Source organism: Homo sapiens, chromosome 17 (genome assembly GCF_000001405.40).
Source record: "Homo sapiens chromosome 17, GRCh38.p14 Primary Assembly".
Classification (NCBI taxonomy): Eukaryota; Metazoa; Chordata; class Mammalia; order Primates; family Hominidae; genus Homo; species Homo sapiens.
This window is the reverse complement of record NC_000017.11, coordinates 52,132,283-52,157,617: the sequence shown is the minus strand read 5'-3', so window position 1 is coordinate 52,157,617 and position 25,335 is coordinate 52,132,283. Positions and strand designations below refer to the sequence as shown.

General features: G+C 39.0%; 1 protein-coding gene across 3 annotated transcripts in view; it reads left to right on the top strand.

Moving 5' to 3' along the window:
* The window catches only part of CA10 (carbonic anhydrase 10), a 529,711-nt gene that overhangs the window by 2,406 nt on the left and 501,970 nt on the right, over positions 1-25,335 (top strand). The window lies entirely within an intron of this gene.

The window sequence follows — 25,335 nt, the reverse complement described above, 5'->3', positions numbered from 1 at the left end:
CCTTTGAGTTCTGCGGGTTTGCCGCCTTCAGAATCAAAAATCTTCTCAGCCCAAGGGTGTGTGAATGTGTGTGTTTTGCGGGGGGGGGTGGTTAGGATCTGTGTGCAGTCCTAGAAGGGTGAAGGAAAAAGTGGTGGGGGATGAGAAAGAAGAGGCAGATGGGTGTTGATTTTCAACTGCTTTCCTGGCTGAGAACTCTGGCGCCGAAATCCGAGCCTTGGCAACAACCACCCCCATCCCCTGGCTTTCAAAGTTCCCAGACTCGGTGGTTCCTGGCTGGCAAAATGGACGCGGGGCCCTGCCCGGGTATCTAACCACTTTCAAGAGACTGCGGGAGGATGCGGGACTGGAGAGTACCAGCAGGGATCAGAGATATGTCCTCCATGCCTTACCCAAACACATCAGGACTGATTGTGATGCTTTGAAACCTGCTGACACACCCTCCTCTACCCCCCCAATTTTCTTGTTAAAGCACTACAGTGTCACAAATACCACTTTCTTTACATCACGGTGTTTTTTAATTCCCAGTAGCAAGGATGTGCTGGCTCAGACCTCTCAGTCTACTTGGGCCTGTCTGTGCTTTTAAGAGCAAACGGGATTTCAGGGTGTTGAGGTGAAAGAGGTTGGGCTTGTGGACACCTGTGCCTGAGTGTGTTAGGACGAGTTCTGGTTTTTGAGCACTGTCTTTGTTGATGCAGGGAATTGGGGTTGGGAGGAAGCTGGGAGGGAAAGGGGAAAGCCCCTGGACCAGCAGTATTCCCCAGTTCAGTGGCTCCTCCCATTGAAGGCACCCACCCCATTTCCCTTCACACCTGCCACTTAAGCACCCAAGGAAAAGCCCATTTGTAGTGCTCCCTTCTGCCTGCATTCTTCTGCAGAAGTGGGGACTCGGCCAACTTCCCATGAAGTCATCAGAAGAGGAGAGCAGGATATTGCCCCTTTGAGCAGCCACATTTAAGCAGCACTGGGGTGGAGAGACATGTTTCCTGCCTCTTCCTTCAGCCCTGTCAATCCCCTCCCTTTAAGCCAGACCTGATTCTGGATAGGAGAAAACAACCCTAGTTCTGCCCTCACCCTGGACTCTGTTCCAAATCCCAGTCTGGCTTCCAATTTTCTCCTCATAGGGAAGGAATGGGACTCTTATCCGAAATCATTCTGTGTGGGGCTTGGCTACCCTATTAAGAAATTTGTCTCTGTGATACATCAGTGAGATGTGTTGTGTACCTGGCAGACAAGAAAATGTGCCCTGGGGTCACCCCAACTCCTCTAGTGGGACTTCTATTATTCCATTCTGCATCTAGGAGTGAAAATTCTCAAGTGACTTGTAAAGGTTTATATCAGTCATATGTCCAGATATGAAGTGGGTGGCATCTCACAAGGCCATATTTTACATCTTTCTCTTCTACATGTCTATTTCAAACTCTCTCTCTTGTTCCAGAATATTTGACTAGTTATAAAATAGCCTTTCCTTACTTCTCCCCAGTGTCATTAATAATTTTCAAATCAGACAAGCCATCTGAGTACCTTTAAGATTTATAAAGGGTTAACATTGATTAAGGCTCTGGATTTCCTCCAGCATCCTCTCTGTCCCCAGCCCTTACCCTGAATTTCGCCAGGCAATCACCGAGGGGAACAGGCTGAGAAAGGGTCTGATCTTAGCCTCCAAAAAAAGCATTAGTGGGATACCTGTCACAGCTATATTTGATTTGGTGTATCAGCAACTAAATTATTCAAATGGAAGCATTAGGAGGGGGATTTCCAACTCAGGAGGAGTGCTATGGAGTACATGGCCTTTCATATGTATTTACTAAATAATCATTATTGCTATGTAATGAGAGGATAAAAGTGTAAGCAAAATTGCTAGCTATTAGCTAAACACAGAAAACTAGGTTAGCGTTCCAAATGCCTAGTTAGGATCTGCATTAATTTGCACTTTATGAAGACATTTAGGCAGGGATGCAACATCATATACTCTTTATTTTACACATCCATAAACTTTAAAAGGCCATTTCTTCTCCATGGTCAGGGTGGCCTCATCCTCCTGTAAGCAGAGCCACTCATTCAGTAATGCCCATGTATGTGAGAATTATTATTAGTAATATGATTATGACTCACAATTGCTACAGTTTGGGAGACTCAGACTCCATTCTTTTTCCATCTGGCAGCCTTAGGATGTATAGGAAATGCAATGCACTAAGGTTGAATATTTGTGGCTTTGAGAGAGTTTAGTGGATCTTTCATTTCTGTCTCCATGATTTGCAGTTTTAATTTACTCATGACTGAGCTCTATTGAAAGGAACATAACCCTGTGATCATAGAATCTACTAAATCTTAAATTAAAAATATTAAAAACAAAGCACCTCTTTAGCATCTTGGAATGAATTTTCCTGACCACTAAGTGGGTGCTAATCCTTACAGAGTTACCAGACATTGATACTTGAAGCATTGATAGAGTTGGCTTCATTATTGAGAAACACCAGGCTGGAAAAGGCTAGTAAAAGTCTGTAGTCTAAACACTTTACAGAAGGAAAATGTTGGTAGTAGCTTTGTCATGTGGAAGATATATTGACTGAATTTCATTTGGTGGCATTTGCTTTCAGGAAAACATTGGCGCTTTGTAGCTTAGTGTTTTGTTAACCAAAGGTTCCAACACTTCCTCTAACCCACCCCCAAATTTCTCCTTGGGCCTATTTGGATATATTGCTTAAAGTACAGACACCTGGGCTTGGCATATTTGGTGGTTCTGCACTAATAATTTGGTTTTGATGAAACTGTTGGAAAATGAGACTGTTTGGCCAGGCTTAGCTAGATGCTGGGTCAGTAGCATGTATGTCTTTTATTTGTGAGATCACATCAGCTTTGGCTACTTAATGCAACATAGCTAGGCTAAAGGGCATGATTTGGGAGTTCCTCTGGCTTTCCGTTAAACTCAGATCTCACTTTTCTGAAAATGTAAGGCATCCAGGGTCTGTGAAGAGATCAGAGACAGAAAGAGAGAGGGAGAGAGAGAGAACCAGAATGATTTTTCCGTGTACTGCAAGAGCACCATTCCCTTCCTACCAAAGCAGCTCAGATCAGCAAGAATGTATGCTTAGCAGCACGAGGAGAGAAATTTCTTGGTCAAACGAGAGCTGCCTGATTTAATTTTTACAATGCATCCTACTTCCTCCTTATGTAACTTTACTTCTTTGTCAGTTTATTCATAATAATAACATCAATAACCATTTGAATTATGTGGTATTTTCACACATTGTACATATATTGCACATATTTAATTCATCTATTCTTAGAATTTGTGGGATAATCTTATAGATATAGCAACCAAAGCCCACAGAGCTTCAGACTAGAGGTTTCACATCCAGGTCTACCTGAGTCAAAATTCAGTATATCATTTATGTTTTGGTTCAAGATTCCTTTCAAATATTTTTATTTAATATTTTTTATTTTGATGTCTCTGAAAGAATAAATTAGGTTAAATGAATTGAAGTCTTAGAGAATTTGGAAGTAAAAGTTTTAGATGATTACAATTTAGAGCTAGAATTAAGGTAGCATTTGAGTTGTACATTACCCTGTCAATCAAACAGATGAGGCTATTACCCAAATGCCTCTAGCATCTTAGGATCAGCAATCTCTACAAGCAAGGAATATTTCCTACACTGTTTTCCTAATCTTAACATTAAAATGGCATAACTTCAGTTTCCTTATGTGTAGAAAAGAGATAACAGTACACGTGTCACATGTTTGTTCTATCAACTAAATGAGATATTATGTCCAATGATTTTCACACAGCACAGTTTCTACCACATAGTAAGCATGCAATAATGTCATTATTTCCTACAAATCTGACATTGTATAGGCTTGGTTCATGGTGGAGTAGAGCTTTTACCTTTTTCCATATCAACTTGTTTAAAAGCAAAAAGAAAACCATCATCAGCAAGCACATCTATAACATTGAGCACAAACCCTATTTTCCAGGAAGCCTTGGCTAAATAATTTTGAAAAGTCTCTTAATTTTCCTTCTCATACAAATGAGACTGGTAGCATTAAGCTTTGGTGCATAGTCATAACTGTAACCCACTTTATCCCTATGAGTCCAATATGGAGTTGAGGCTTGGAAAGTTTACTAAACTACCTGGAAACCATGTAGTACTTATTACCCAGGGGATCAGCGAATTTTTCTTTCAGTTGTATATTACAATGCAGTATAGACCCAACTTTAAAGTGCCTCAACACTGGCAAACGACATATGCTTTCAATATGGCTTGAAATAGAATGTCCCATCAAATAAAAAGCCCCACCCTTACAATGACTATTTATCTGATGATCTCATTAGCAATGTGGTTTCTTTAAATCCAGTTTCCCATGTGATGTCATATAGCCCAGTTACTGACAGATAACCATCATCATAGATAAAACTCTCCAGATAGTGAGTCAAGAAAGTCTTTTGGAGTTGTATGAAATCCCAAGGGAAAAAATAAATGTTGATGTGAATACCCAGTCCCTTGGCTGGGGAGAGGGGTTTGATTACTAGCCTAAGTCAGTAACTAATGTCTCAGTTTATCACCTTAATTAAGCATTACATACTTGGGACTAAGGTCAAAAAGAGATCTAGGTATCATAAATGTGTATGATAGCAAGCCATTATAGAAAGAGTATGGAAATCAGAAGACCTATCCTTCAACGTGACTCTACCTTCATTACCTTTATAAATTTGGGCAGTTTTCTTTACCTCTCAGAATCTCAATCCTCATCTGTAAAATAAAAATTATATTTGCTTTGCCTATTTCAAAGCATTGCTGAGGGAAACTTCAGAGAGTGATTCTTGAATAAATATTTTTTGCATTATGCAAGTGTAAAGCATCTGTGTCATTACTATATATGATCCATACTTAAGATATAGTTATAGAAGCAAAGTTGAGATACATACACATAGTTTAGAATGATATAAAGTAATATGAGTAATGTTTATTTGTTAAGATATTATTATAAATGCAAAGTTGTAATGCTAAAATGCATTGTGATATAAAGGAATAGGAATAATGTCTAATTGTTTAATAATTGGCATAAATTGTATAGAAGGGAGAAGTTTAGACATGAAAGAAAAGGAGTATATTAGATTGATTTTGGAGGTTTGGATGAAAGAGACAGAGGGGACCTCATCATCAAAAAGGAGGAATAGAAACAAGAGGATGTACGCTAAAGAATGTCCCAACTGAAACAAAAAATTCACTTTGGGAGATACTGGAAAGTTGGGATGAGCCCACTTAGGGAGCTATTGAATTGAGAGAATATGAAGTGTCCTAATATGGTTATTCACTTTGTGACTTTCGTTTTTGTATTAAGGATCTTTGCAACGGTTCAATGGATTCTTTGTTAAAATTTGTTTGAAATTCTAACATTTCTTTGGATTTTAAATTTCTGTTGCATGTCTACAACTAGCACTGTACTTTATATAGTTTGTAGCCTGTTTGAGATTGTAGACAGTTGAGTTGGAATTTTTTCGTAGGGGGTGAACTGGAGGGGGCTGGAGGTAGGGTCTCAGCTTGCTCATCTGTAAAACAGAGATGATAATTACCTCTCAAGGTTGTTGTTTCTACAAGGTAATTATAAGGATAAAAAAACACCATTTGTAAAATGGCTAATGTGGTATCTGGAATACAGTAGCCATTGGCCAATGCATACACATCATATGAGAGTAAGCCTGGGTTTTGGAGCCCAGATAGGCAGACGTGTGAATTCTAACTTTGGGATTCACTCTCTGTTTGGTCTTGGATAAGTAATTTAAGTTCTGTGTGCCTTAACTCCTCATCTGTAAAATGTGAGGTATAGAAAATGTACATAAGAATCTGCCATACTGCCTGACATGTATTAATCATTCAGTAAATTGAAGTTGCTCCCATAAAATTATCATCATCATCATCACTGACATCAATAACAATACTTGTTGACACTTTGGATCAGTTTTTGTAAATGCCAATTAATTATTTAATCATTTATTCTATGTTCAACAAAGACGTATCGACAGCAAACTCTATGCCAGGCACTGGAATCACAGAAATGAACAATATTTGGTCCTTAGTATTTAACAAGAGAGTACATGTTGTAAAATAGAAATGTGTATAAAGTATACTGGAAGTATAAAGGAAGAGCAATTAACTCTGTCGTTTGTAGATACAAGTGGAGAAGGGAAAATGTTTATAGAAAACATTTGACCTAGACCTAGAAGAACACATGAGATTTCAAAAGAACAGGGAGAAAGAAGACATATCATGTGGCAAGAATAGTATGTTCATAGACAAGAAGATATTTAAAAAACAAAATATCAAAGTATGGTGGATTGGGCATATGGAGTGGATAGGTTAGACTAAACGACTGGATATAGGGGTTACAAAAATAACCTTAGGCCAGTGTGAAGGGGATTGTAAACCACAATAAGATTAGACCTTACCTTTTATTTATGAGGAGCTAGCTAATGGGGAGCTAAGGAAAATGACGTAATCAGGTTTGTGTGCAACTTAATATTTTTACTTTGATTGTAATAAGAAATTACTTAGAAACCCAACTCCTTGTCTTCTTTTTCTGTCAACATTTATTCTTGATCACAAAACACATTAAAAAAAATCCTGACCTAATAGATCAATTTGCCCATTATGGGACATTCTAAGTGATACACTTTTTTAAAAATTCATTTTTTATAAATCTCTCGTGACCCTCATTTATCCTGATCTTTGAGATTTGGTATTTTCAGGTTAAGCAAATACAAATATCTTCAATTTTGTACTTGAATAATAATAACAATGTCTTTAGCATTAGATGAAGGCTAAGAGAAATGAATCATCTGTACATGCATTGGTGTCATGAAGATTAATTATGGGTTAAGCAATAGATACACTATTTGACATAAAACAGATGCTCAAAGTACTACAAAGCATTGTGTAGCAGTTTTATCTTACTACATTCTGTTCAACTCTTATTTCCAATAGAGTACACATTCACTTAACAGAATATACCCATGGTTAACTAAATGATATATCCATTTTACCCACTCTATGGTTCAGTTACTATAAAATGAGTGTAGAGACCTAAATGAAATGGTTTTCATTGTCCACTTAATCATTCAACATTTATTGAGGATACATTATACATCAGGTACTCAGAATCCAACCAGAATAAGTAAGACAGTGACCTTTTCCTCCAAAAATTCTTCATCTAGTAAAAGACTGATTTTTAAAATATTGGTAGTCACAGCAGAATGTGATAGGCATTGTAATAAAAAGGTATAGAAAGTGTTTGAGGAGAAGAGAGAAGGGACATCTGACTCATCCTGAAAGTAGGAGGGGTAGAGAAGGAGAGTAAGTAGCGTTAATAGAGGATGCTTAGGGTGAGTCTCCAAGGATGTTAAAGAGTTGTCGTGGAAGATTTTGGCTACTTAACCAAGAGGGTTGTGATGAGAGATGGATGATCATATGAAACAGCATTTGCAAAGGAAGGGAGATTAGATGAGACATAGGACATGATTAATTCAGGAGACGGTCAAAAAGTGAACATAGTCACAACTAAAGAGTGTAGTGTGATGGATGAGGTTGAGATGGAAGAGTATTTAAGGTATATAATTTCAATAACAGTAATCCCTTGCATATAATAATGTCAGTAAAAATCACCCATTTTCCCTCTGTGCATGAAAGGCATCTTTTAAAGGCCCAAGGAAGTATGCAGTTTGCATCCTTCATTAGGAAGAGACCAGTCAGTATTAAAGCTTTGGCTCTTGTTCAGCTATGCTCTACTTGGCCCAGACCACTGATCATTTTCCACTGTTGTCCCTGGTTCCAGATGGCTTCCCAGAAGCTTTGGAATAACCCAGATATAGATTACAGAGTTTATATCATCTTGTTACTTAGTTTATTGTCACATATTTACACCCTAGGAAAAAAAAGCCAGGACCCTGTTGACCATGGATTTTACGGTATATCTATTATCATCTTACTCATTGATTAGTGAAGGTTTTCTGTAACTTTTTTGCAGTTTTTATTTCATGTAACCTTAAACAGACCTTTAAAGGATTTCCAGCAGTCAGGGGTTGGGGTGGGAAGGTTTGGGTGGTGACAAATGATCTAGGATCACTTTTATAACAAAGCCACAATTGCTGTTTATTAGCAAGATTGGGCTGGTAACGGGATAGCCAGTGTGGGGTTTGATTACATTTGCATTACTGGGCCATCAGGATGGCAGTGGAGAGATTATCAAAGGTTATGAAGGACACAGCATACAAATGCCTTTGCCTACTGATCTGGGAGAAGTGGTAATTTTGTCACAGTAAATGAAGAATTAATCTTTAACTTTGTCCAATACTTCATGCCTGGTGGCTGAAGGGGCTGGCAGTAGGAAATGAGGCCTGTGACTTTCAGGTGAGTTTTCCAGAGCCAAGTCTTGCTGGCTTTGCAACACATTTGGCAGCAATGCCAGAGTTGGAATAAACAGATTTACTGAAGGATGTGAGTCAACATATTCTCTTTCCGCTCCCCTCTCTCTCACTACACACACAGCTACCTTTTAGCCTCAAGGAAAACAATTCTGATAGCTGCAATTATTGAGGGAGCATAGGCCTGTCCTCCAACACAAGGTTAGAATAATAATAAATACCTCAGAGGATTCTTGAAATAAACAATAAAGTAATATATATGGAAGATTTTTTTCCCAGTGTTAAATGTATTTGTTAATTTATTGCACAAATGCTAACAAATGCCTCCTATGAGGTGGGCACTGGGCCAGGCATAAGATAAAATGTAGTAAAAAAAACAGCAATGGTCTTTGCCCTATAAAATGTGTGTAGTGACACACAAATGTGTGAGTGTTTTTTTTCCCATTACCCAACCCAGTGCCTGGCATTTAGAAAATGCTCAATAATGAATGACTGAATTAATACATAAATGAATAATAAGGAGCGATGGAGAGTGGCTTTTCTGCATTCAGGGCAGACTGAGGGACAAGATCTGAGGCCATGAGGGAGGGGAGATGAAGAAGACACCTCTACCAGCTGTTGTCTTGCTTCTACTGCATGTAGGTTTTTGAGTGTGCAGAGTCACAGAGAATGGGAACCTTCCCAATGAGCAATATGTTTGATAGTTTTCTAGTCCTGCTCTGACTCATATTTCCATTTGACAAATCATCCTTATTTGGGGCACTTATAGTTGTTTAAAATGTATTTCGGCCCTTTTGTATTTATGACACCATACCAAAGGCTTGAACTAGGACAATTAAAGATCAGTGGATACATTGTCATTCTTTTCTCCATGTCATCTCTGTTCCTACTTGAGGAGATTGTTTGGAACATGTACGCTATTTCTTACCAAGTTCCTACTTGGGAGAAAACAACACTTTAGAAAGCTCACTGTTCCCTTGTTAGTGTGTTGAACTAGAGTGCTTTAGGGAGAATAGCCTACCCCACTTTTTAGTCTTGATGCAGAGCAATACAGGAAATTACTGTGGTCTCTATGGTGTTTTCAGTCTTGTGTCAGAAAACATTACTTCCCCTCTGGCCTTTTGTAACAGAATTGTGGTGTAGCTGACTAGTTCTTACCAGAGAAGAGCTGGCAGCCTAGGAATTGAAAGAACAGAGTGGATTTGCTGTCCTTGGCTGTGAATTCACCCTGTAATCACCTGGTTAATCTTTACAACTGTGAGGAGATGGTCAATTGGATAATTTGTTGTTGTTTGCTTGTAATCTTAATTACAGAAAAAAATAAAAAGGGGTTATAGAAAAAAAAGGGGCCCTATTGTTAATTTCTCAGTGGATGTTTGGGGATTTTAAAGTGAGACATCGGTGAGTATCAAGTTTCTATTGTATGACCTGGGTGTGATAGAAATATGTCACTTGATGTCTAAGTCTTGTAATGCACCATAATGATACTGGCTCTTAAGTTACAGTGACTCAAACCCCTGTAGAGTGGAATATAAAGTAGTGAAGTCATTATGTTTTATTTCTGTAACAAGTTTCATTCCTGTTTTTCTACTGTGGTGAAGTTCCTTGTGGCCTTTTAGTTTGTTTTAGCACTGAGTTTTATTGGTTGAATGAGAGCCACATGCAATTTTAAGTGTATAAGTTAGTGCAGGCTTTTTTTTTTTTTTTAAATCTGCTTTTAGAACTGCTTAAATTAGAGCTTGACTAAGCCAGGTAAAGGCATATAATGTGCCACATCCAAAGACAAGTTGAACAACTTCATGAATGAGAGTTGTGTTTATGCCTTGGTTGTTTAGGCCAATTACGTATCCAACTCAGATGTTCTTTCTTGATCAGTGCTCCTTGCAAGACAGGGACTGTATATGCAAAGTGTTTTAGTGTCACAGACATGAGTGAAGCCTGGAATCAGAGTGTATTTTATGCCAAATATGATAAAATATTATGAAAAAAATTAGGAAAAAAATTATTCCCCATAGACCAAATTTTTGTTTACTAAATTTTGAAACTGTAACTTTTCCAATTTGTACTGTAAAAAGAAACTTTATATCTTAAATATTTCTCCATGTTGCTTCCTAGTTGTGTCAGTTCAGCATATCCTGGACCCTGACACATACACCCCACAATCTCAGTGACATAACACAATGGAGGCTTACTTCTTTGCATTAATTGTCCAATAGATGTCAATGTATGTGTGTGGGCATGTAGGTGCTTGGTGAGAGGAAAGAGATAAAAGAAAAAAAATTCTGTATTTAGTGGTGACTTGGGAGTCACAAGGTTGATGGGGGCTGTGCTACCTCCTATGGTTTCCAAAGTTTTCCTGGGCATCAACATCACCAGATGGGGAAAAAAAGTGTAGAGGAAGACCATGGGAGGGGTTTTTGTGGGCCAAGAAGAAAAGCTGTGGGCATCCTTTCTGGTCAGTCACATTGCCACATCTTATTTTTATTTTTATTTTTTTATATTTATTTATTTATTTATTTATTTATTTTGAGACGGAGTCTCGCTCTGTCGGTGGGATCTCGGCTCACTGCAAGCTCCGCCTCCTGGGTTCACGCCATTCTCCTGCCTCAGCCTCCCGAGTAGCTGGGACTACAGGCGCCCGCCACCACGGCCGGCTGATTTTTTGTATTTTTAGTAGAGGCGGGGTTTCACTGTGTTAGCCAGGATGGTCTCTATCTCCTGACCTCATGATCCGCCCGCCTCAGCCTCCCAAAGTGCTGGGATTACAGGCGTGAGCCACCGCGCCCGGCCTATTTTTATTTTTTTACCATGGTGTTTCACCACATTGGTCAGGCTGGTCTAAAACTCCCAACCTCAAGTGATCCTCCTGCCTTGGCCTCCCAAAGTGGTGGGATTACAGGCGTGAACCAAAGTGCCCAGCCAGCCACATCTTATTTTTTTTTTATTATCATACTTTAAGTTCTAGGGTACATGTGCACAACATGCAGGTTTGTTACATATGTATACATGTGCCATGTTGGTGTGTTGCACCTGTTAACATCTTATTTTAAAGCAGTTAGAGAGTTGTAGGCTAGCCTTGTAGCCAGGAGCAAAGGGAAAATGGTTTGCGAACAATTAGCTAGTATCTGCTACTTCAATATGCATTATTTTTTTCTTATATTTCCATAGTAGTTTATTCATGTAAAATAGCATTATTTATATTTAACTTTCCCTTGTTTTTAAGCATATATGTTGTTTCTAGTTTATGACATTTTTTGGCATTTGTTTTTATCCAAGTAGATATTTATCGAATTTTTTTTAAAAATAATCTCAATATTGTGATTATTGGGTCAAACAGTATGAAGTTCCTTACCATTTTACTGTATTATATCTGAAAGTAATGTATAACCTGTTTATGAGGCTCTAGTAATGTGCTTGAATTCCTTGAGAGAGTAAGCAAGTATGTAGAATAGTGACTAATCTTTCAAACATCCTTTCAGCAATGGTTTACCTCAAAATCTATTAAACAAACCTAAATAGCTATGGGATTCAAGATGTTATTTTGCATAACAAGTTAGATCAGAGACAGGAAACTGTGGTTAAGATAAACAAATACCTTTTCTAGGTCTAGAATTTTAAGCCTTCTTAAGTATTGTTCTTGGAGCACATTTTTATACATTATAGGGAAGATAGAATTAGGTGATTTGCTCAAGAGATTACTAGGATGGAAGTTAGGACATGTTGTGTTTAGTGTTAGTTTTGCCACTACTACTTCTGTGGCATGGAGGAATTAATTTTACTATTCTGGGGCCAGTTTTCTCCTTTTAAACAGTTTAAGCATATTGGACTAAGTAGTTTCTAGATCCCTTTCCAACTTAGGAACTTTAGTATATTAAGAGACTTTTACAGAAAGTTGTCCAAATTTGCTGTTCATGCTAAACTTCCCCAGTTTTTGAAATGTTGAGGCAACAAGATGAAAATATAGGAAGATCTTTCACGACTGTGAGTGAACAAAAAGTGGAAAATGACTTTCTATATGGGCAATCATATGATAAGGCATTATGAGAAAAATAACCCAAATAACATTTGTGGAATGATTACCTTGTCACCCTCTAGTGCAACGCTGGGAAAGAGTCTAGGGGTCGTCATTGACTGCTACAGATGTATTGAAGAGCATTCATCGAAAACATTATACGTTATACCTTATCTTACTATTTAACCTCAACTCTGATGTTTCTTATTGTGTGACTTTAGGAAGTTATTTAATATCTCTAACTAAGTGTCAGTATCCTCATTTGTAAATTGGAGGCAATAACACCTATTTTTGGAGTTAAGCGGGCTTGAAATAAAAAAAATGGAGCCTGGTGTTTGGCATATAGAATGCACTTGATAAATGGTGGCTTTTGCTTTCGATATGGCTGAAGCTAAAAGAATAAAAGACACGTTGAGCAAAATTAGGAAGGAATTTGGCAATATCATGTAAAACATGGGGATTAAATGAGCCAATGCATGTGAAAGTGTTCAGCACAATGTCTGCACATAGCACATAATCAGTTAAGGTTGGTTGAATCTGATTCACTAGGGGAAACTAGAATGTTTGGGGAATATTTTAAAGGTAATAAGAAGGGAGATAATCATGTCTTTTCATAGCATCATCTTCAGAGACAGTTTACTGGGTCTTGCCCATATGTTCCTTTAATAATTTTTTAAAAATTAAGAAATTAATGCCCCATATTTTTAGTTTACAACTGCACTTTAAATTTATCAAAACCTCTAATGTAGGCATATGGTCTCATATAATCCAATAAATATTCGGCCTTGACAGTAGTGGCATAAATAGAACCCTGGCTCAGGAATTTGCTTATTATTTTTTCCCACTTAATACATTAGTAAATTCTAGATCATTTGCCAGAGCAATAAAGAAGTGAGGTATTATTATGGCCTAATCCATTTATGATAAAAGATACACTATTTACCCTGCAATTTTTGAAACTGTCACTCATTTTTACTGAAATTTGGCTACTCTATTCCCTTTTCATTGTTCAGACTTACCTGCTTCCCCAAGCACTAATTTGTGTTTGTGGTAACCTTACCCATGTTTTTTTCAACCTATTCTCAACATGAAAACATAGCTTTGATTTGTTTCATATTCACTTGAGAGAAGGATTTCTTTAAATGATAATTAAATGCTGAGCTATTCCTGAGATTGCAGTATGGTTCCTTTTCAAATATATCTGATCTGAGCATTTCAGCAAAAGGCATAAAAGGGAAACCAACAAGAAATAGGACAGATGATAAATACTGTATTGATGTTAAGTAAAGACAAGCAAACTGTGACCTGAGTATGTCTGTCTCTAGGGAGCCTGCTTTAGAGCTTTTCCCAGTGTTTGGTTTTTTTGTGGGATTTTTTTCCTCCAAGCTCGTTGGTAGAGGCTGGATTACAACTGAGAATGCAGAGATTAATGGCCTGCTGTGACTAATCCACTAAACCCCTACTCCTGTTTCTCTTAAATTGATTGTACTTAGAGAAGCTGAGTGTAGACCCACCCCAGCCAGCCTGATTTTAGGTCCCAGTGATTTAATGAGATCCAGTAGCTTTAAGTACATGGAACCTTCATGGAACATCATCACTTTTTGCATTTGGGCATTATTTCATTAGTTGCTGATTAGTTCCCACTGGATTATTTTATAACCTCTCTTTTTTTAAAAAGAACATTTTTCACATGATTATATTTTAAAAATTTAACACTAACATAATCCAATTTAAAATAATTGGGAAAAAAGAGAAAAAACAGATCACTTATAATCACATAACCATAATACAACTATTATTAATATTCTGGTTTGTTTCTTTCTAAGCTTTTACTTATATAAGCATTTTTTACTTATTTAAAATTATATCACATTATTGTGTGTGGCCAAAAATTCATGTCAGATAAATATATGGTTTGTGTTCATTAAAGCAACATCCTCCTAAAATATAGCCCAAATAATGTGAAAATAATTATATACATAGATGGATAGATATGTCATTGATGGAAATCAAGATTTAATACTAAAGCAGTGCACTGGGATTGTATTAAATTTGAACAAAATTTAAATTTACAAATATTTTATTATTAATCTGGTGATCTTAAAAAATAATTCATAGGAAGATAAAAGGATGACAAATGTAATTATAGTATTGGAGATCTTTGAGGAGAGGGAACACTGGAGAAACAATTTAGAAATGATGTTAAAAGTATTTTATTTAACTATTAAAATGCAGAAATATGTTTAAATCCACTGAGATGCCATATAGCTTGAGTTGAGAATGATTAAGAGCTGCATTTAAACCCACACTCTGCCTCTTACAAGCTGGTTGGCTTTGGGTAAGTTAACTTCTTATGGATCTCAGTTTTCTAATCTGTAAAATGGAGATAAAAATAACCCCATCAGCTCCTGAGGCCTGAGGAGGTTGTGAGGAATATGAGCGGTGCTGTCTCTCTCAATGTGCCCTTTAGATGATTCCCCCTCCTAGGGCTGCCTGCAGGGGTTGTAGGCTTGGGAAAGATTGTGTAGGTGACAGTGAATCAGAATGAAATGGTAGATTTTGTGTAGATGCATTTGTCTGCTGTAATTTTATATATATATTAAACTTACCATAACTGTACAGTTCATTTCTGTTGTAAAACATCATTAAACCATTTTCCAAGTATTTTCAAAAAAAATAACCCCATCAGTGATTTTTTATAAGCATTATTAAATGACATATGAAAGTAAAGCATTTAGTACAGTATTATCAGGCACATAATAATGGCTTAATAAATGTGATCTGGTATTAGCATCAAATTCATAACATGTGAGATGCAGCCAACCATAGTCTCTTTGTAAAGGAGGAAGACTATTTGAGTTAGCTGCTTTGTAGGGGATATGGTACTACAAGCTCAGAAACCTTCAGTACCTGTCACTGACTCTTAAAAATGAAGAGTTCACACTGTTGAAAGTGATGTTTTAAAGTCTTCCATGATGTGCCATAGACTGACCTTTCCAACTTTGCTCCAATTTCCAACTCAGGATTCTGTGAAGGCACCTTGCAGACACTTACCTGTGCTTTTGCTCATGCTGTGGTTTTTACCTTATTTTGACCCACCTGAATCCTACATGGCTTACTCATAGGTTCTCACATGTTCAACCAGAGGCTTCTTTGTGAACACTGTTATGAGCAGTCCAGCCAGCAGCAGTATCTCCCCATAATGCCCCATCGGCTCTTCTTGTCCCCGGTGCTGCCCATCCACTGGCTGCCTTTCTACTTTCATCAGGAAAATTCACCATGGCCAGGATTCATCTAGGGTATCCCCATCCTACTCCTAATGCAACATGCTCATTGGTTGGGTTTTACTCTCCAATCCGTAATGATAGGTTTTTCCACATTCTCACCAGTAGTCTCTGCTGATTTAGGTTTTTTTCTCTTCCCTAAACCACCAAGTCCCTTCTAGATATAACACAACTCAGACCAGAGCTCAGCAAACAACAGCCTGTGGACTAAATCCAGCCCACAACCTGTTTGTTTACAACTTAGAAAACAAAGTTGTACTGGGACACAGTCATGCTCATTCATTGATGTATTGTCTAGGGCTTCTTTTACATCACAGCAGCAGCATTGAGTAGTTGCAACAGAGACCATACTGCCTGCAAAGCCTAAAACATGTATTCTCTGCCTCTTTACAAAAAAACATTTCTGAGAAACAGTTGAATCAAATGCTTCCAACAGGTAGGAGGATAAACTGGGTACCTGAATAATGATTTTTTCTTCAGTAAGGGATTGATTGAATTTTACATGTAATAGTCAATTTTTAAAAGCTCGGAAGCTTCAAGAACCTCAGAACTGTCTTGACTTTTGTGGATACCTTGGCCATTTTACTACCCCAAAGTAATGCTTCAAGCACCTTCTACTGTCAGAAACCAAAAACAAGAAACCTCAGTTTGTGCTGGTTTGCATTTATAAAGCTCCCTTTGCTCTCAGAGGAGCTTAGAGTAGCTCTGGTCCCATCCAGGTAAACATTATGGGGGAAAGTCACCCTCCCCTAAGGCATGGTTTGTGCTGGGATGGCAGTTCGGCAGGGAAGGAGCAAGCTTTCTGAGTACTCTTCTTCTGCCAGCTCTTTGAAAACATAACCCTTCTCTTTGGGGAATGAAGGTCAGACCATATTCAGAAATAAGAACATCACCTGGAGAACAAGCAATTTTAGGAATGACAACCTGAGAAATCAAACTTTCCCCCTGATGATTGAGACAGGCCAGACTCATAACCCAGGCCATGATCAGCTTCTGCACTTGGTAGAGCATTTTCTCTCAAATAACAAGCTGAATGAGCTTTACCAGGCTCTGAGAGATGATTGTTGTCCTCTCTGCACAGATGGCAAAATTGAAGTCAAGAAGCAGCGGCTTAGGCTGGCCACAGAGAGAGTGGGTTCTGGCAAAGACCCTACAGGGCTCACAGGAGCTGGACTCCCAGTCCTCTTAGACATGGTATTTGCACTAAGTCCCTAAAGCAGATTTCATAACGCTGCGTAACAAAGCCTCTTTGGAACTCTAGAGCAGGGGCTGACAAACAGTGGCCCACTGACCAAATCCAGCCTACTGCCTTGTCTTTGTAAGGCCCAGGGGCTAAGAATGGTTGTTACATTTTCAGATAGTTGGGGAAAAAAATCAAAAGAGGAAATAATATATTTCATGACACATGAAAATTATATGAAAACAAATTTTGGTTCATGAATTGTGTTTGATTGAAAACAACCACACTCATTCATTTATGTACTGTCTAGTATCTATTTTCGATGGCTACATTTACACCGTAGGGGCAAAGTTGAGTAGCTGCAACAGAGCCTAAGGCCGGCAAAGCTCAAATTACTTTCTATCTGTCCCTTCCCAGAAAAATGTTTGCTAACCCTTGCTCTAGAAGCATAATACATTAATTAATATAAACTTTTATTGAAGTACATTAAACATAAAATGCACTCATTTTAATTATATGGTTTGATGAGTTTGGGGTAAAAAAGACAGTCCTATAACCACCACCGCAACTAAGATGTGGAACATTTTTATCACTCCCCAAATTTCTGTATGTTTCTTTGTAGTCAGTCCCTCTCCAATCCTTGTGCAGGCAACCACAGATCTGATCTCTGTTAGTGGTAACAACTTTTAAACAATTATTTAGAAAGGATTTCAGATCACTAGAGACCGTGTTGAGAGAAGGTGGTGGTGGGGGTGTTTGAAAACATGAAGTTGATTTTATTCTTTCGTTTGATAATTCCTTAATTCACTCCAAACACCCACTCCAAACAGCCACTTAACTGTTCATAATATTAGAACCTAACAGGCACTGTGCAAAGTGCTGTCCATTTATTATCTCATTTTATCTCTAACCCTATGAGGGACTTCTTATCCATCTCTGATTCTATTGAGAGGAGACAGGCACCCAGGTAACACTGAGGAGCACACAGCTGTTAAGATGTAAGCTAAGATTTGAATGTGGACCTGTCTGAATCCAGAGTCTGAGCTCAGCCACCATATCACATACTTATTCAATCTTCACTACAAGTCTGTTTGGGAGTATATTATCAACATTTTGTAGAAAAAGGAAGCTCAGAGAGGTTAAGTAACTAGTTCAAGTCACCCAGCTACTAACTGCTAGAGTTAGGATTTGAACCAAGCTCTCCAAACTGCAAGCAAAAGACACCGAACAGAGAGGGATGGAAATGCATTATTTCGAAAAAAAAAAAAAAATCACCTTGTCTTACAGATGGATAAAGTAAGAGCCATATGTGAGCAAGTTCTAGATAATGCAGAGGCGAATGAGGCAGTAGGCAAAAAGCAGTTTTAAGCCAGATATAATTTTGCTTTCTAAACTAATGGATATCCAAGACTATTTAATTTAATGTAAACAACTAAAGGCCATAAAGTGCTTTGAAAATCACTGAGGGGTGCATCCATGCTGACCAGAATCAGTAATCAAAATCTCTCTTGCTGTTCCTTCACAAACAGAATTCTATCTGAATTGGTCTGTCATATTGAGAAGAGATGAAGATCAAAGTCTCAGAACAGACCTCCATAGGATATTCTCTTTCTCTCCTCCCCCTACACCGGGTATTATAAAGAACAGCGCAATTTACCAACTCCTAGTTTGAATGATTGCATTCCATTTCTTCAGGGCCTTTTTTACTAAGTACTTGGCACCTAAATGGTGCCCCAAATGATTGTCTGCTGTTCCAATTTTCTAGGAGCACTCCGTCAGCCTCCCTGCAAGCGCTTCTTACAACCTAGCACAGGAGGCTGTGTCCACTGGGTTCCTTAGTTATAAATAATGAAACCTTCAGGACTACTATAAGCAGAAAAAATTTTTTATTAAAGCACTTGAGGTGCTCACAGAGTCTGAGGGTAGGCCAAAAAATAGTAATTGGAAATTGTACTTACAAGGGTATATTATGGCATTGCTCTAAAAAAAGACTCCTGCCACTGCTGTGTAGAAACAGCCAGATCTCATCACTGGTGTGGACTGAGCTCTATACACCATTGGTATCCAGAAAGCTGGACACTGCTGCTACCAACCTCACCAGAAGATGGATTTGATATCAAACCTGCTTGCTCATGCTGTTCACTTTAGAACCATAATCTCAGGCATCTGAATGACTAAGTTCAGTCACATGCCTGCATCCTGTCCAAAGTAAAGTACAGGTTTCTACCTGGGTGGGACTGGATACAAAAGGCAGGAAATACTCCAAATATAGTGAGTTGGCTGAAGAATAGCCTCCCAAAGATGTTTGTGTCCTAATTCTAATGCCAGGAACCTATGAATATGTTTATTTTACATGGTAAAAGGGATTTAGCATTCATGATTAAAGATCTTGAGATTGGGAGATTATCCTAGATTATCTGGGTGGGCCAAATGTAATCACAAAAGTCATTATAAAAGAGGGGCAGAATGATCAGAGTCAGAAAAAGAAGATGTGAGAACAGAAGCTGAGGTTGGATTGATGTGCTTTGAAGAGGAAGGAAGGGAGTTACCAGAAATGCAAAAGATCCCCAGTAGCTGGAAAAGACAAGGAAATTAATTCTTCCCTGGAGCCTCAAGAAAGAACACATGCCTGCTGACACCTTGATTTTAGCCCCTTAAGATTCATTTCAGATTTCTGAGCTCCAGAACTGTAAGATAATACATTTGTGTTGTTTTAAGCTACTAAATGTGTAGTAATTTGTTACAGCAGCAATGGGAAACTGATGCACATAGGATAGGTATTCAGAATGTGATGACAGTCCAGGGAGCATGACAAATGTCCACCACAGCTGTGGTGAAGGAAAGCTAGAAAAATTATTAATATTTCCCGCATCCAGTGCTCTCTACTTTTTGATAGCATTCTAATAGATTCCTAAAGCTAGGTTGGGTAAACAAGCTAAGTAAAATTGCTTGTGATTGTTCAGATTGTTCACCCACTTTATTCACCCCGTGATTTATTCAACAAATGTTCCATTTATTAAATAAATATTTACTGGAGCTGAGTGCCAAGCACTGTGAAAGATATTATAGCTTCTGGAGCTGAGTGCCAAGCACTGTGAAAGATATTATAGCTTCAAAGGAGAATAAGAGAGTAAGACTCAAAGCTGACAGTCAAGAAGTTCATAGATACCAGGCTTATATTTAACTGATTTTCAGTTGTCTCTTCATATCAAATCCTACCCAAATTTATATTGTTTGTTTTGAACAATGGGAGTTAGGATGTCAAGATGATTTCACAACAATTTATGCATAAAAGCATTATGCTGAAATGAATATTTTCACTTGAATATCTAACAGTAGTCAATATTTATTGAGTGATTCCTGTGTGTTACAGATAATAGTAATATTTTATATTATTTATTTCATTTAATTGTCACATCAACCCTGGAGAAATGGATAGTTGTTCTCCCCATTCTGCAGATGAGGAAGCTGAGGCTTAGGAAATATGACCAAATTCATACTGCTAGGTAAGAGAGCTGGGATTTGAATTTCCTGTTATTTGACTTTTGGGTCCATACACTTTTGCCACCCTACCTCCCTGTGTGCCAAGCTCTGGCCTAGGGACTCACAAGTGTGTGTGAAAAAAAAAAAATCCCCACATCCGTAAACTTCAAAATTTAATAAGTATTATAAAATGAGCTATAGAAATACAGAAGAAGAATTTATATAGATTTCCAAGTTGACTAATTTTTACAGGGAAAAAATTCCTCATTTTGATATTAATTACCAGTTCATTTAGTAAAAGATCACATTATTTTACAACTGAGGTATTTTCCAAAGCAACTCCATGTTGCTTTCACTAATCTAGGTGCAAAATTTATTCTCTTAGATTATTTCCATTTCAAAATCGTGTCTCACAAGGAATATACATGAAATATACTCTCTTCTGTCACCTCCTTCCTTCCATCCATAACAGTGTGAATACTTTGGCCAGTGATATTGTTTATGTTAATACGTGTTGTAGCCTCTTGCCAGAAATTATTAGGCTCAGAAAGGGGGGCAGAGGGAACTCTCCAGGACCCTATTTCTAGCTGGATGTCTCCCTTCTGCAAAGCTCATCAAGCACCCACACAAAAAAGCTGAAGCTGGCTGGACTGTGAGCAAGACACACAGATACCACCCCTCACTCCCAGCTTGAGTAGTTAGGGTGCGTAGGATTCCTTGACCGTGAAGCTAGGGGCCATGTCTTACACAAATAGCACACAAGTGTTTTGCTCCTTAAATTCTGGGAGCTGCTGTTGGCTGAATTACCTCTCAGCCGTCCTGTTGACAGATGGTGTAACTTGCTCATTAAATCAGGATCCTCCCCATTCCGAGGGCCCCAGGCATGTTAGGAGACAGACTTGGTGGTGTTTTCTAATGCTAATGGTCTGCAGCTCCAGAGCGAAGATAAATATTCTACTTTATTGTGCAACCACTAACTTCAGCCTTACTGGGTCTGCTCCCTTCATTTTGACAGGGCACATTTAGAAAAGTGAAATGAAGTGCTTTTAGGCATCCAGTTCCTCCATCCGTCACTTTCTCTTATATTCTGCCAGCCTCGTCTTTTTCTCTGAGACTTGTCTCCACACAGTGCTTTATATCAGTGACATACAGTATCCTGAACTAAAAAGAGACCTTCCTAGTTCAGAGTTCAGGACTTAACTTTGGTTTTAAGCAGTATTATGCAAGGCTTATTTATTTGGAGAGCTTATTGGAGGAAACAATAGCAGCCTATGCAAAGAGGGGACCTGATATAAAGTCAGTGTGGCTCCAGCACAGATAATAAGCATGATTATTAAACAGCCATGTTTAACAACTTGGATGTGTATGCTAAGAGCAATGGGGAAGCCAGGAGAGGGCCTTAGGGTGGGGGTTTCACATGATCGTAGTTATGCTTTAAGAAGACCCCTCCAGCTACAGAGTGGAGAATTGAGCAGTAATGAGAAGCAGAGAGGGAGACAAGTATCAACTGAAGAATGACAAGATTCATAAATTTGGGAAAACAGCTTTATTTCTCATAAAGTGTTGCAGCCTGCAGGGTGCCCATTCCCACAGGCTAGGAAGCATAGCCTCTTGCCAGAAGCTAGAAACAGACACTTCAAGGGAGAGGTAAAGGGAATAGGAACGTGCGCTGAGCAAGGTGGCCAAATATACATATTTAATAAGCTATAGGAGGAGTCATGAATATTCATGAAAGGAGAAACGTGGTCCTGTGCAATTGAACTTCATGCCCATTTGTGGGTCCCATGTACAAAAAAAATGGTAGCATTAGCATGATCCAAGGGTGGAGTTTTGAGCTCTCTGATGTCAAAAGGTGAAGCAGAGGACACAAAAGCCTTTACTGCACATTCTCCATAGACTGGCCAGAACCACTGCATGGTCAGTGGTCTTTTCTCAGGCAAAAAAAGGAGGGGCAGCATCAGGTGGTTTGTTGGTATCAAAAGTGGAGTCTTTCCAAAGAGCTAGTTTCTGTTTATCCCTTAGGGAGGAAAGCCTAACATGGTTAGCGAGGGAGGGATATACTGAGGCATGTCTGACCTCTCATCCTGTCATGGCTGAGAACTCAATTTTTAAGGTTAATCTGGGGTCCCCTTGGCCAATAGAGGGTCCATTCAGTTGGGGGGCTTAGGATTCCATTTTTATTTCTCACAGGCGACCTCAGGAGGGCAGTCAGGAGGCTCTGGTGGCAGTCTGGGTTGGAGATGCAGGTAACCTGTTGAAGGTGATGGCACACATGGAGAGCAATGGCCAGCATCAGGAGCCGTTCAGGATGTGGATTCACAGAGCCTGATGAACTGTGTATGGTGGGGGTGAGGGAGAATGGTGAGTCAGAAGGAGCCCAGGGTTCTGGCTCATGCATGGGGTGGAGGATGGCAGTGACATCCATGGTGCCAGGGCACAGTGGAAGAGGCAGCTGTCATGCATAACCTGAGCTCTGCTTTGAGTCACACAGAGAATTGCAAAATACTGTGAAGGGAAGAGGCAGATGTGCAGTTGTAGGAGGGGAGAGAAAAAGAAATAATAACCTAAGAAAGAGAAGATGATTCTTTCTCCCAGAGAGTATGCCAGGGCATAAGAACAAACTTACTATTATTATTATTTTTAACTAATATTGGCAGAACCACTATTACTAGCTGCTGGTATTGATTGTTTAGTTCATGTTTAAACTTTACAATAGCCTTCAATTCTTACCGAAATCATGTGGGTAGGCATTATTTATCATGCCTATAGAGGTGAACAGACTGAGACTCAGTGATATTAAATAATTTAGTTAAAGACAGAAAGCTTGTGGGTGGATGAGCTAGGCTTTGAACCCAAGTTTGGCACTAGAAAGTACACTCATAACTCTTAAAGAAAACCATCATCTCCCAAGGGACAAATAAATAGGTACAAGGTTACAATAAGTTAAGAATAAAATACTGAGTAACAAAGAAGCTGATGGGAGGTTATTTTAGGATTATTTCTTGAAGAAGTTGAGGTTTAGGATTATTTTCTGGAGAACTTGAAACATTTTGTTTTGAATGGGTCTATATATGCCAAATCTTTGAATGTGAGCACATTAGTTCGAAGTAGGGAAGAAATGAGATTAATAACGTATAGAGTGAAGATGGCACTGGGGGAACAGCTCTTTGAAACATTCTGCTTTACAGCCTTTTATTATGCTACCTTGCCAGTGGATGAAAGCTGCAATGCTTAGCTTGGCTCACATCACCAGCATGATATGCTAAGACACCTTTATAGATCTCACTTCCTGCCTCCCCTCGCATGCACCCTGTACAGTCATAAAGCATCTTCCCTCCTTGGTTCCTTCTTCATTCATTAATCTTCTATTCATTAAGTGACCATTAATTGACCATTAGCTAATATGTGCCAGGAACTTTACTAAGTCCTGGGGATATAAGGATAAATATCCTCAAGAAAATGATGAGTGGCTATAATATCCAGAGTCACAATTCATTACACAATATTTTGAAATATGCTATTACAAACATTGTATCTATTAAAACAGAGGCCAGAAGAGGGTATGGCTTTGTCTAAAGGAGGTGAACTTTGAGCTAGAATTAAGAACAAGTAAAAATTTGTCAAATGCATAGAGCAGTCGGAAAAATGGAAAACAGTGTTCTGTAAATGTTGACATGAGAATTGAGCAGTTTCTGATATGCAACTGTTTTTTTTTTCTTGTTAACACTTTTTGCTTTGCTCTCCCCAAATCCTGAAGCCTCTTCTTCCAGTCTCCTGTTTTCTGTTTCCTTCCACCTCTTCACTGACTTTCCAGATTAAACTCTGCATTGCGGATCTCTGACAGTTTCTCTCCTGCTTTGCTAACCACTTTAAAAAATAGACATTTAAAGGCCTTCTGTGTGTCTCCTGCTATGTTATGGCTCTCCTGCTGTGTGAATTGAAGCTCCCTGCCCAGAGGACGGATGCCCCACCGCTGGGGCGCTGGAGGCTCCAAGGCTTACCTTAGAGGTTTGCACCATGGGCTGTGATGAATGGCAGCTTGGCTTTCGTTCCCCAAGGTCAGTCACCTGTTCCATGCCTGATTTCACCAAAGGGCATGGTACCAGATTGCTTGCTCACCAAGAAGGTGAGGCCCAGACAGGGCAGTGAAGCAGCTCCATGCAACATGGATTAGGTCCAGCCCAACTCCCAGCTTTTCCTTACCTTTGGAGTCATATAATCCTTATCTGCATACTCAGCCTGCCCATGGTCCTCTGCGCTACTCCTGAGAAGAGGTAGCACTGATTTAAGCCCTGTAATTCCACCCCATATATTAGGCTCTGCTCCAAGGTACCCTTGCTGTTGTCTCACTGTGGTCCTGTGCCTCGGTTGAGCCACGAGATGTCACCTGTGTCTGGACCAAGTCCCCAGTTTGTACCCCAGTCCTGATGAGGGCCCTCTCTTCTGTACCTGGTACATGCATTTCTATTGTGTTAACCTATACAAGGACCTTGGAATCTCTAGGCTTAGGGCCCCAAATCCTCCCTAAATTTGTTTCTAGAACTGCCTATAAGCTAACTTCACTAAAACCAAGTGTGCTCAGATGGCCAGAGCCTGAGGAAAGATGCTGAATTCTGCATGTTCACTGTGCCTTCATTCCCTGTTGCTGTGCCCCACATATAAGTCAGAAACCCAGAAGTCAGATATTGGTCTTCATTCTAATTATTCAGAATAATATAGCAGTTAACAGGTACAGCACACCTTTCTCCTTTACTGTGCTTAGTACTTTAGAAGAATTGACTCACATAGCTCACAACAGTTCCATGAGTAGCACTCTGTGGCACTGGGATTCCAGTTTAGGCAGTCCTCTTTCAAAGTCCATTTTCTTAGCCCCCCATGTGCTTTACTGTCTGCCACATCTGGACCATATCCTGTTGTTGTCATGCTCAGTGCCTCTCCAGTCAAACCATCTCTCTTG